At 42.4% G+C, this 12,754-nt stretch overlaps 1 long non-coding RNA gene across 1 annotated transcript, besides 6 other annotated features; it reads right to left on the reverse strand.

Annotated features, from left to right (window-relative positions):
• Nucleotides 1-538: 538 nt before the first annotated feature.
• LINC02977 (long intergenic non-protein coding RNA 2977) lies at nt 539-12,425 on the reverse strand. The gene is made up of 3 exons (NR_186812.1): nt 10,180-12,425; nt 3,069-3,166; nt 539-1,792 (listed from the first exon to the last, which is right to left on the reverse strand). It is a non-coding gene; the product is annotated as a long intergenic non-protein coding RNA 2977 (long non-coding RNA).
• Nucleotides 814-863: an enhancer, noted in NCBI's record as "active region_28810". NCBI's record gives its function as "activates an Ori minimal core promoter by ATAC-STARR-seq in GM12878 lymphoblastoid cells {active_cell/tissue: GM12878}" and the evidence as "EXISTENCE:reporter gene assay evidence [ECO:0000049][PMID:35858748]".
• Nucleotides 1,174-1,303: an enhancer, noted in NCBI's record as "active region_28811". NCBI's record gives its function as "activates an Ori minimal core promoter by ATAC-STARR-seq in GM12878 lymphoblastoid cells {active_cell/tissue: GM12878}" and the evidence as "EXISTENCE:reporter gene assay evidence [ECO:0000049][PMID:35858748]".
• Nucleotides 4,067-4,156: an enhancer, noted in NCBI's record as "active region_28812". NCBI's record gives its function as "activates an Ori minimal core promoter by ATAC-STARR-seq in GM12878 lymphoblastoid cells {active_cell/tissue: GM12878}" and the evidence as "EXISTENCE:reporter gene assay evidence [ECO:0000049][PMID:35858748]".
• Nucleotides 4,287-4,576: an enhancer, noted in NCBI's record as "active region_28813". NCBI's record gives its function as "activates an Ori minimal core promoter by ATAC-STARR-seq in GM12878 lymphoblastoid cells {active_cell/tissue: GM12878}" and the evidence as "EXISTENCE:reporter gene assay evidence [ECO:0000049][PMID:35858748]".
• Nucleotides 6,237-6,326: an enhancer, noted in NCBI's record as "active region_28814". NCBI's record gives its function as "activates an Ori minimal core promoter by ATAC-STARR-seq in GM12878 lymphoblastoid cells {active_cell/tissue: GM12878}" and the evidence as "EXISTENCE:reporter gene assay evidence [ECO:0000049][PMID:35858748]".
• Nucleotides 7,897-7,996: an enhancer, noted in NCBI's record as "active region_28815". NCBI's record gives its function as "activates an Ori minimal core promoter by ATAC-STARR-seq in GM12878 lymphoblastoid cells {active_cell/tissue: GM12878}" and the evidence as "EXISTENCE:reporter gene assay evidence [ECO:0000049][PMID:35858748]".
• Nucleotides 12,426-12,754: the final 329 nt, after the last annotated feature.

The following is a 12,754-nucleotide window of genomic DNA, read 5'->3' on the forward strand; positions in this document are numbered from 1 at the left end:
ACATCATGAAATTCAGTAATCACAAACAAAAGATCAGTAACCTGGACTAAGTAACAATGAAAACTTTCCCATGGCAAAAACAAGCAAAAGTCTTATAAATAAAGTTGCAAGACAAAGAGCAAATATGGAGAAATATGTGCAATATAGATAACAAGCAGCTTGTGGCTTCCCTAATATAAAAAGAGTTGTGTAGTTATTTAGAATAAATCACCCCCTTCCCAAATAAAAAAGTATAGGTCTTCAGCTGAGGAAACGTTTTCTCCTGTCTCTACTGAACTACTCTCCCATACTCTGAAGTTGAAGGAAGGAGGTATAACCAATGGCAGTTGCTATTACTCACTCTTACCAGGAGTAAGGGCCAGTGCCCTTCACACACACACCCCCCACACACAACACACACAAATGTACACACAAACATAGACACAATGCACTCAGCTCTCACACACACACCACATACACACCACACACACACATACGCACACACATGTATATACAAACATGCACCCAATGCACTCAACTCAAATACACACAACACATATACAACACATATCTTGGGCAGTTTATTGTAGGGTCATACCTGCCTGCACGGTATGATCTGTACCTGTACCCCCTCTGCGTACCACTCAGCTGTTTCTAAGTTTTGCACTCTATCTGGATCCAGAAAGATGCCAGTGAACGTGGTCACAAAGGGGACATGTTCTGCCTGCTCCCCAAGGTGGAATCAGTGCATAGAGTCCCGTGGCTGCCTATTTTCTGGTTCGGGTCATGAGAAAGTCACTTCCTCCCTTTGCAAAAGGGTACTGTTTTTGTGAAATGAAGCCAGGGTACGCTGCGTGCATATCTGAAGTCAGATCCTTCTGAGGTTCTGCCGTTAGCTTGTCCATCTTCATTGTCAATGGTATCGGGAAATTCCCCTCCTTTCCCCAGCTTTGTTGGGTCTTCAAGGGTGACTGAAGGAGAGGTTCTTATGAGTCATTGCATTGAAGGCCACCAGCCAGACACCACTGTGAGCCATAAACTGTCATATAAAAGCTTTTCCAACCACCACCACAACAACAAAATATTCTCAGAACATAGATATACACAGAATACGGTCCCTGTGTCAACAGTCACTTGTGTGGGCTCAGTGCTGACAACGGTGCTGTGGCTACTCCAGGTATGCTGCAATCCCTCTTTGAAGATTGCCATCAGGGCTGGAAACACATATTTTTGGTATTCTGAGTCCACAAGTGTAATATTTTTACATCGTGTTTGATTTTCGGAAATGGTTAAAAGTCATTCGCCACATACTTCAGTTTATAAAAGAAATGTCCAACTGGCTGGAAAGAGTGGTGGAAGGGCAGAGGGGTGGGAATGGTTAATGGGTACCAAAAATTTAGAAAGACTGAATAAGACCTAGTATTTGATAGCACAACAGGGTGACTATAGTCAATCATAATTGAATCGTACATTAAAAAATAACTAAAAGAGTATAATTGGATTGTTTATAATACAAAGTATAAATGCTTGAGGGGATAGATACCCCATTCTCCATGTTGTGATTATCACACATTGCACACCTGTATCAAAACATCTCATGCATTCCATGAATATGTACACCATGTACCCACAAAAGTTACAATTAAAAATAAAAAAAGAAATGTCCAACAGGCTAAGTTTTAATGATATATATTTTATATGGATATATAATGTTTTTACCCTACATAGACAGAGAAAACTGTAAAGTAATAAGACTAATTGATGTTCTTTTGCAGCTCATAAACACTCCGAAGGCAATTCCCAAAGGTAACTTCTGAAAAAAAAAATGTTAATACTAATAGTGTCACTGGAATATGCATTTAGTCTTTCAAAGAAACTACTTAGAAGGACAACTATAATTCCGTTGAATATCTAGTATGTTTTGGGGAAGTCTCATTAGAGTTACGGTTTGTCTAGAAGATGTTTTTTTAAATGTTGTTTTGAAAGACTTCATAAGCAAATTGTCCCCTTCCTTTACCCACTTCCTTGCACCGCCCCCCAACAGTCAGCCAATCCAATGCACTGTCAAATTCTTTATTTTTATTTTGATAACATCTCCTTTTCATTAGAACCTTCCTCTCTAGTCCCTCTATTTCAATCTTTAATGTTGTTCTTTGTGCTGTTTCATGCCTTTGTTTACATTCTTACACACACACACCCCATTCCTGGAATTTCCCTCCTAGTCGTCTCTGCCTGAAAAAAAACCCTACTAACCCTTTGAGGCCAGCTCAGACTTCACCTGTGTGGCCCTTGCTGGCCTCTTGTACTTAATCACTCTGTTGTTATGCTTGTCACTCTGAACCACTGTGTAGTATAAAAACTCCATCACTGAAGGAGCTGGGTAAGGTGTTGCTGGATGTTGTGAAATGAAGGTTAAACTGATTTCTCAATCACAGGGGAAATTCAGCATCAAAATTAAAGCAAATGATATCAGTTTATTTCTGTCAGAGGTCCAATCTGCTAATAAATAATGCTACATTAACAACAGGAAGGACTGAATTTTATGCTTCCAGTCTCACTCCTTTGAAACCATACTGGGAGGCTTCCTGGATACACTCAATATAGAGAATACACATCTAGTTCTCCTTTGAGTTTAAGAAATATGACTAAATAGATGGGATCAATTAGAAGCCATCAATTAGAGAACAGGAGTATTACTCAAGAAAAGACAAAATTAGTACTTGGTAATAGAAAAGTTGAAGATACATAGGACAGGCGTGGTGGCTCATGCCTGTAATCCCAGCACTTTGAGAGGCCGAGGCGGGGGAACCACCTGAGGTCTGGAGTTTGAGACCAGCCTGGCCAAAATGGTGAAACCCCGTCTCTACTAAAAATACAAAAATTAGCCAGGCATGATGGTGCATGCCTGTAATCCCAGCTACTTGAGAGGCTGAGGCAGGAGAATCGCTTGAACCCGGGAGGTGGAGGTTGTGGTGAGCCAAGATCACACCATTGCACTCCAACCTGGGCAACAGAGCAAGACTCGGTCTCAAAAAAAAAAGAAAAGGTTGAAGATGTTGTGATAACTAGTATATAAAAAAAAATCTCACCTGCCATTTTGATAGTGAAAATTTTGGTCAGCTGTCTGATGCCCACCCAGCTTTCTACTCCAGTGTTCTCATGTTCCTCATTTGTTGCTTCACTTTCTCTGGTACAAAAACAAAAACAAAAATACAGGTGTGACAGCAGAAGCCCAGACAGCAAAAGCAAGAAAAGACAAATGGGATTATATCAAACTAAAAGTTTCTGCAGAGCAAAGGAAACAATCAACAAAATAAAAAAGCAATCTATAGAATGGGAAAAAATATTTTTAAACCATATATCAATAAAAAGTTAATATCCAAAATATTATATGTAAGGAACTAATACCACTCAACAGCAAAAAAAAAAGCAAGTTACCTGATTTTTTAAAAATGGGCAAAGAACCTGAATAGATTTTTTTCAAAGAAGATATATAAGTGACCAACAGGTATATGAAAAGGTGTATGACATCACTAATCATCAGGGAAATGCAAATCAAAACCACAATGAGCTTTCACTTCACATCCGTTAGAATGGCTATTAACAAAAAGTCAAAAGATAACAAGTGTTGATGAAGATATGGAGAAATGAAACCCTTGCACACTGTTGGTGGGAATGTAAGTGGGTACAGCCACTACGAAAAACAGTATGGTAGTTCCTCAAAAAATTAAAAATAGAACTACGGTATGATCCAGCAACCCCACTTCTGGGTATATACCCAAAAGAAATAAAATCAGTATGTGGAAGAGGTTATCTGCACTCCCATATGTATTACACAGTCGTTCACAATAGCCAAGACACGGTATCAACCTGAGTGCCTGTAGACAAATGAATGGATAAAGAAAATATTCATACACACACATGAATATCATTCAGCCAAAAATGAAGGCGGCTAGGCATGGTGGTGCATGCGTGCAGACCCAGCCCCAGCTAGTTGGTAGGCTGAGGCAGGAGGATTGCTTGAGCCCAGGAGTTCAAGACCAGCCTTATCTCAAAAACAAACACAAAACAAAGCAAAAACAGAAAGAAGGGGAAGAAGGGGAAGAAGAAGGGGAAGGAGAAGGAGAAGGAGGAGGAAGAAGGAAGAAGAGGCAGAGGAGGAAATCCCTGTCATTTGCAACAACATGCATGAACCTAGAGGACATAATGCTAAGTGAAATAAGCCAGACACAGAAAGGCAAAGGCAAACACTGCATGATCTCACTTGCAGGTGGAACCGAAACAGAAGAACTCATAGAAACAGAGAGCAAAAGGGTGGTTACCAAAGTTAGGGGTTGGGGAGGAATGGCGAATGTTGGTCAAAGAGTACAAACTTTCAGTTACAAGATGAATAAGTTTTGGAGATCTAATGTATAGCATGGTGACTAGAGTTAATAATGTATACCTGAAATGGGCTATAGGAGTAAATCTAAGTGTTCTCACCACACACAAAAAAGGTGAGGTGATGGATGTGTTAATTAGCTTGATTGAGGTAATCATGTCACAGTGTATAGGTGTATCATATCATCACATTGTATGCCTTAAATACATAAAACTTTTATTTGCCAATTATACTCCAATAATGCAGGACAAAGTATACAGGTCTGACATCCAGAGAAAAATATCAGCAGACTTAAAATATCTGATCATTTTCCCCCGGAGGAGGATTGTACAGTTTTTTTAATTGATGAGTAACAATTTTATGTAGTAAGCCTATTCACTCTCTGTTAACCACATTTATTGCAAACAAGTTTTTCCCAAATGTTTAGACATTTATTCCTACTTATTCTCACACTTCCCTGATAATTCACTGAAATTGCGATCAAGGCTTTATTCTCAGCAGGAAGTACTTGTACTTCTCTAAGTGACAGACAGGCTTAAAGAGTGGGCTCAAGGGTGGACCAAGGGCAACTGCAGATAGGCCAATTAGACAAAAACATTCAGGAAACTGGTAGTTAAAATAAATAAATTAAGCCTGTGGTGATTCAGCAAGCTTATTTCTGGAAATAGTTTTTTTTTAATCTACATACTTTGGTTTTAGAGTATGTGGCATAAATATTGAATGTGGAGCATTTCCAAAATACAATATAACTCAGACTAACTTAAATAATGATTCCTTTTACTGTGCATCAAACCTCACTTTTTTGTGTTATGGATGACTAAAAAACAAGTTTTCTTTCTTTATAAGCATTAGTTTTATTAAAGCAGTTGTAAATGGTTCTATAACCACCCTTGCAATGGGGCTCCTGAGGGACTTCCTTGAAATTAGATTGGAAATTCACTGAGATCAGAGGACATTGGAGCTTTCCAGTTGGAAAACACTTGAAAGTTCAGTCTGGCTGGGCATCCTCTCTTTTGGACCCAATCTCCGGTTCTCATTTCACTTGGAAAGTACCTGCTTAAAAGTTTACTTTCTTGTTGCTCAATTTAGACCATTTATTTTCCTTTCAGCTCACCAGAAAGCAGCATGATGGGTGACCAAGCTAGCGATCATGCAAAGCAGAAGTCATAGAGTAAAAATGGTCAATGCGTTTGAAAAGTGTTTATTTGAGTTTCCCAAAAGTCAGGTTAACATGCAACAGCAAACTACAGGTGGTACCAACCATATCTTTTTGGGAAATTAGTGAGGCCCCAGGATTGAGGGCAAACTGAACAAGTTGGGTGGGAAATCAAGGGCCAGTTGGCAACCTAGTTGCAGGCAGGGACTGAGGACGATGACCTGGTTAGCCTTAGAAAGCTAAGCGTGTGATACAATCAATACAGACCATCACAGGTCAAGTGTAGAGTAAACATGGTTAGCTCTCCCAGGCACACAATCAACTGCCCAGAGCTGTTCAACAATATGTATCTCTCCAATAAAGGCAGACTGCCTCATTCCCTCCAGAAGTGGCTTTTCATTTATTTTATCTCATGCGGTGACAAACTTTAGTCATTCTATGCCTAGCTCTCCTAAGATTCACAAGCTCTCCAAGCTAGATCTCCTAGGTGGGTTTCAGCTCTGCATCTAGCTCCACCCCCATCTGAGTAGCATCTCTACAGAAGCCTACAAGGGTCTGAGGCAGGGCAGCAGCAGCCTGCAGGTTGAAAGAGAGGAAGCCACAGGAGTGGCCACAGAAATGAGGGAAAGTAAAGGAACGTGGCTAACACCAGAGACGAACAGATAGAGACTCTGAGAAGTGGTCTCTGGGGGTCGAGATGGGGACCTGTCCTTTTGCCTTTGTGAAGTTTCTTCATTCTCCATCTAATCCAGAGAATTGTTTTGGAGACACCAAACTCAGACACATTCAGACCAAATAGTTGTGTATTCATTTTCCATGAGAACTCTAGTAAGAATGTTCATGAATGCAGATCACAGGAAGCCAAGTCAGATTCAGAAAGCTGATTTGTGCCCTTGGAAGCCAGCCAGAGTGGTGGTGGGGTACTTAGGCTAGAGTCTCCAAGGCTGACAGCCCCCTACATCATCTCCTCGATAGGGCTACATGCAGTGTGGACATTGACATTCTCTAGCCAGGACCTTGTCCAATGCAGGAGTTGCACTGCCCAGCCGCTGCTCTCTGACTATCCATTCCTAGGCTCCATAATGACAGCTCCCCTTTTGTGGGCACTGCCTGTGTTTAGGCAGAAGGCGGCATTGTAGAGGGCCTCACTGCTGTCCCTGACCATCATCAGCAGAGCAAAACCCATGCAAACTATCAGGGGTACTGGAGCTCATCTGTTGCACACCAATTCTGGTGTTCATCTCCGTGACATCCCAAGCCACAGTCATTATCCCAAAACAACCCAAGTTCCCTCTGATCCTTGGAACTGAGTCCCCTTTCATGTCCTTGGGTCTCCCTTGGATGGAGGGAGTCATAACTCATGGCTAAGAGCTATAGGTGCCCCTCACCTCCTCTCCCTATCTCTGCTTCTCACAGCTACTGCCAAGTTCTTGGCTTGGAAGGGTCATGGGGGCCAAGAAGGACCTTTGTACTCTCCATTACTCGGCCCTGGAGTTCTCACCACCTCTGGAAGCTTTGAATCTGGTCAATGTCTCCTTACTTGCCAAGCCCACCAAGACTCAAGATGGCCACTCCCAGGGACTAAAGCACAGAGCTAACCCTTCAGGTCCACACACTAGGTTCTCCCCCATCTGGTAGAGGTAGACTTTTGCAGACCACACTCATAAATTCTGAATCCTGCTAACCCCAAGGCTAGGGGATGGGACACAAGCCCACGGACCCAAAGAAACAGTGCCCTTTCACTCCCCCAAATCTCTGTGCCGCTCAAGTGAATGCATCTGGTCAGAGGTGAGAAAGTCAATTTACAGACCCAGCATATGACAGCTCTTGGCAGCTTTGACACCACGTGGTAGAGGGTCCAGAGGTCCCTCAGTACAAGCCTGGAAAGAGGAGCTTCAGAGAGATCTCCACTCAGAGAATATGACTTGTGTCCTCTACAGCAACAGAAGACACAGGGCCTCGTATCTGATTCCAAGGATAAGAAACCCAAGGGTCAAGAGGTGGAGGCTGCCAGACTAGTGGCAGGCAAAACAAAAAGAAGCAAGCTCCATTTCCACCAGTCAGAGGACAAAGGCTCTAACAGGTAAGAAAACTGAAGTCTGTGGCTGGAGCCAGCAGTGACGGCAGGAAAACCCTCTGTTTGGCATGCCAAAAATCTATGAGTTTCCATGCATCAAGCAGACACTCTAGGAAGTAATTGTGCTGGAAAAGCCATCTTGATATGATTTCCCAAAAAAGGCCGACTGGCAGAGCAAAAGCACTCCTGCACTTTCAGGGGCTGGAGCTGAGATAGAGGCCAAGAGTTCAGAATAACAAAATATAAAATAGCTAGACAAGCACAACAACATATACATATGAATGACCTTGTAAGTTATAAACTAGAATACTCAGGCCAGCCTCGGTGGCTCATGCCAGTAATTCCAGCACTTTGGGAGGCGGAGACGGGAGGATCACGTGAGGTCACGAGCTCGAGACTAGCCTGGCCAACACGGTGAAACCCCCCTCTCTACTAAAAATATAAAGATTAGTCAGGTGTGGTGGCACGCATCTGTAGTCCCAGTTACTCGGGAGGATGAGGTGGGAGAATAGCTTGAAGCAGGGAGGCAGAGGTTACAGTGAGCTGAGATCATGCCACTGCACTCCAGCCTGGGCAACAGAGTGACAGAGTGAGACCTTGTCTCAAAAAAAAAAAAAAAAATTAATGGAAAAATAATGGTAACTTATTCTTACTTGGTATAAACAAAAACCTATTTTAAAGTTACAGTAGGTGGTATTGGCACAGAAATAGATCAGTAGAACAAAAGAAGAAGTTCAGAAATAGACTTCAGCATATGATTCAGTATATGATTTCAAATCACTAACAGAAAAAAACAGTCAATGAATTTTTTTTTTTTTTTTTGGAAACAGGGTCTTGCTCTGTCACCCAGCTGGAGTACAGGGCATGACCATGGCTCACTGCAGCCTCAACCTCCCCTGTTCAAGGGGTCCTCCCACTTCAGCCTCCCAAGTAGCTAGGACTACATGTGCACACCACCACGCCTGGCTAATTTTTGTATTTTTAGTAAAGACAGGGTTTCACCATGTTGGCCAGGCTGGTCTTGAACACATGGCCTCAAGTGATCCACCCACCTTGGCCTCCCAAAGGTTACAGGCGTGAGCCACTGAGCCTGGCCTCTGTTAATTCTTATTTTTTGTAAAGATTGTGTGTCGCCATGTTGCCCAGGCTAGTCTCGAACTCCTGACCTCAAGTGATCCTCCCACCTCAGCCTCCCACAGTGCTGGGATTACAGGGGTGAACCACCGCTCCTGGTCTCAATGACTATTAATAGGACAACTAGCCAACCATTTAGCAACGATTTTTATTTAAAAAGATACCTTCCCCTGCCTCACTCCCTATCCTAAAATAAATTATAGATGGATTAAAAATTTTTAATGTTTAAAAAAATGCTAGATTATATTTAGTACCTTGAGATTAGAAGGTCCAACATAAGGAAAAAGACTGATAAATTTGACTATACAAATTTAAAATTTTTGTGTGGCAAAATATAATACAAACAAGATTGAAAAATTATGAACTCGAAAAATTGTTTACAAAACATATGACAGGAATTAAAATGACTACAACATAAAGAGCTTTTTCAAATCAAAGACAAATAGGCCAAGTACTGAGAAAAAGACAACTCACAAAGACAGAATTAACAACTGGCCAATCAACAAGCAAAATAATCAGAGAGACACAGACAAAACATTGAAACATCCTTCTTCACATACCAGATTAATCAAGATTAACAATACAACAGCACTCAGTGGCGCTGAGGCTTTCTGCTGGTAAGAGTGTAAATTTTTGTATAAGTTTTTGCATAAAACTCTTCCAGCAATCTGCACTGTAAAATGTACATAGTTTCCATTCCAACAATTTTACTTCCAGGAATGTGGCCTAAGTGATAATTGCATACCTTCATACTGACTTTTATAAGGACAATAAACATCTGAAAATATTCTAAATGCACAACAGAGTATTGGTTAAATGAATTATGGTACAAACTTATAATGCAGTCATGAGTGACATGAAAAATGTGGCCTGGAAATGATGACTGAAAGAATCATGTTACAAAACCACACACAAAATTTGACTCCATTTAGGTAATCCTGAGTTGAGTTTGACTCTATTTTGGTAACCCTGAGTTGAGCCCAAAAAGTATGGATCTAGATGTGCATGCCCCACCCCCCACCCACCACACACACACACATACTCCACCACCACCACCCAAAGGATTCACTCTCTCTGAAACAAGAGCACACACTGCCTTTTAAATTGACTTGCTTCATGGACTCACCCTCCCACAAACTGGGGCACAGAAAAGGCCACATCCTTCCTCCCCAGAAGCAGGCACTGCTTTGTTGGTTCAGTCTAACCAACAAAGGATGTGGTAGGTAAAAGGTTCTTACAACGCTATTTGATTGACTTCTATGAGACCATTGAGTTCCTCTTAGAAGAAAAGAATGGGAAAACAAAAGGTTTAGAAAATCAGAAAATGTGAGATTAGCAATGAAAAGGGAACACTGAATGTTCTTTTTTATTTCCTTTAAAATCAATTTAAATATTAATTTTATTCCAAGCTAAAGTGGAATTTCAAGATAATCACTTCTGCTCTGGTCTTACCTTACGTGCCCCACTGCAATTTCAGGTCTCGAGTCAGAGAACAGACTATTTCCTCTTCCCCTTAATTAACCTCCATCCATTTGCTTGATTGTTTGTGGCTCCTTCTATAAGGGATGGGTGGAGGTGCCTTACAGTGAAAAGACAGGTATACATACACACACACTGTATATATATAGATTGGAAATTCAAAGGCATGACATTCCTGGGAACCAAAAAGCCTGTCCAAAGATTAGCTCCATAGCTAGCTCAAGGGCTTTCAAATGCCAGAAAAGAGAACTAGGGCAGCCAGAAGACTTGGCCCCACAATTCAAGTATTAACACTGAGCAATTCTGTGTTATAATTTGCAGCAGTTAGAGGAAATCCCAAAGTCCACGTTTTTGTTATTTCAGTAAATTTTTTTGGATCTCACTCTGTCACCCAGGCGGGAGTGCAGTGGTGTCACCACGGCTCACTGCAACCTCAGACTCCTGGGCTCAAGCGATCCTCCTGCCTCAGCCTCCTGAGTAGCTGGGACTACAAGTGCACGCCACCATGCCCGGCTAATTTTTAAAACTTTTTTTGCAGACATGGGGTCTCGCTATGTTGCCAGGGCTGGTCTTGAAGACCTCCCAAAGTTTAGTAATCTTATATGAACTGCTTTTACTTTTCTGCATTGTACCCAGAAGGTGATGTTTTACTTAATATTTAGTCAGTTATTTTAACCAGAAACTTTTAATACTAAGCAAGGGGGATTTCTTCCTTTCTATCACAATTATACTACATTCCATGTGGACAACTGTATCTCTGGCAGTTAATTCTAGAGGTGGAAATTAGGGAAGGGGGTAGTATGGAAGCATACAGCATTTACAAAACTGGCAAAAAATAAAATAAGTCAAGGGGAGGCTCAGATTCTTTCTTTGGACAAAGGTGGGCTTTGAGGAAAGATCCTCACTCATCAGAGGCCGAGCCCTACACTAACCACAGTAATTTGTATTGATACCCAATTTAGTTCAGGAGCTATAAAAATGTATGTTTGCGGCCAGGCGTGGTGGTTCATGCCTGTAATACCAGCACTTTGGGAGGCCAAGGCGGGTGGATCACGAGGTCATGAGATCGAGACCATCCTGGCTAACACGGTGAAACCCCATCTCTACTAAAAATACAAAAAATTAGCTGGGCACGGTGGCGGATACCTGTAGTCCCAGCTACTCCAGAGGCTGAGGCAGGAGAATGGCGTGAACCCGGGAGGCGGAGCTTGCAGTGAGTCGAGATAGCGCCACTACACTCCCGCCTGGGAGAAAGAGTGAGACTCCGTCTCAAAAAAAAAAAAAAGTATGTTTGCATTATTGCACATAAAAATTAAAAATTGAGAGCTATTTGTATTCATCTATTGAGAGAAACGGTCTCTGGGGGTTAGGATGGGGACCTGTCCCCATTATAGACCCGTTCTGGTCTATAATTTACCTAAGACGAGAGCAGAAAGGGTTTTAAATGCTGATCCTAAGTTGTCGTCGGAGGGCAGTACCCCAGAGGACAGGGGAATCATTCCTAACACTGGCAGGGGCCAGAGGCTGACAGCTGGCATTGAACACCTGAATGTCAGGATATTACTCGCCTCTCTCTAATTCTTCCCAATAGAGCGGATACACTCTGGACTCCCTGGGGTGGAGCAGCTACATGGGCAGTTTGTACTTGTTCCTCTTGTCTCTTCATCTGCCCATAAGCCCAAGGCACTCAGAGTCTTCCCTCACTGACACCCAGCAAGCCGGTGAACACACCGGCCCACTGCATTGGGAAGCCCTTTCCTTTTGCTAAGGACTGCATTCGTCTATGCTGCATCTTGAGGCTGTGCAGTATCACCTCCCCTCCTCCATGGTTTTTCTTCTCTAGGCCTAGCAGGCAAGGGAGAAGGAGAGATGCCAGAAGCCTCTGTCTTTCCTTCCCCATTCGTTTCTTACTGAGTCTTGGAGTTAAATTGTTAGTTAGTGCCGGGCGTGTGGCTCACACCTGTAATCTCAGCACTTTGGGAGGCAAAGGTGGGCGAATCAACTGAGATCAGGAGTTTGAAACCACCCTGGCCAACATGGTGAAACTCCATCTCTACTAAACATACAAAAATTACCTGGGCGTGGTGGGGGGGCCCTGTGGTCCCAGCTACATGGGAGGCTGAGGCAGGAGAATCACTTGAACCCGGGAGGCAGAGGTTGCAGTGAGCTGAGATCACGCCACTTCCCTCCAGCCTGGGCAACAGAGTGGGAGTCCATCTCAAAAAAAAAAAAAAAAAAAAGAGGAAAGAATGCCAATTCATGATTTAAAAGTAAAATCAAATAGACTCCAGCTGTCAACTTAGCATATTCACAGTAGGTCCAGCACCGCTTATATCTAATGTTTCATAGTTCATAATGGAGTAACATTCATAGTTACTGAAGTTTAGATAAAAGAAGTGTCACCCTCTATGGCAACCCCTCCCCTGAAACACACATGGACTCTAGTCTAGCCATGGGCTCAATACTGTTTTAAGCATTGCTACTACACTACCACCAAATCTCAGTTTCTAACAGGGGGCAAAGAGCATTTTTAGAAGACGCTTAGTAA

This window comes from Homo sapiens, chromosome 9 (genome assembly GCF_000001405.40).
Source record: "Homo sapiens chromosome 9, GRCh38.p14 Primary Assembly".
Taxonomy (NCBI): Eukaryota; Metazoa; Chordata; class Mammalia; order Primates; family Hominidae; genus Homo; species Homo sapiens.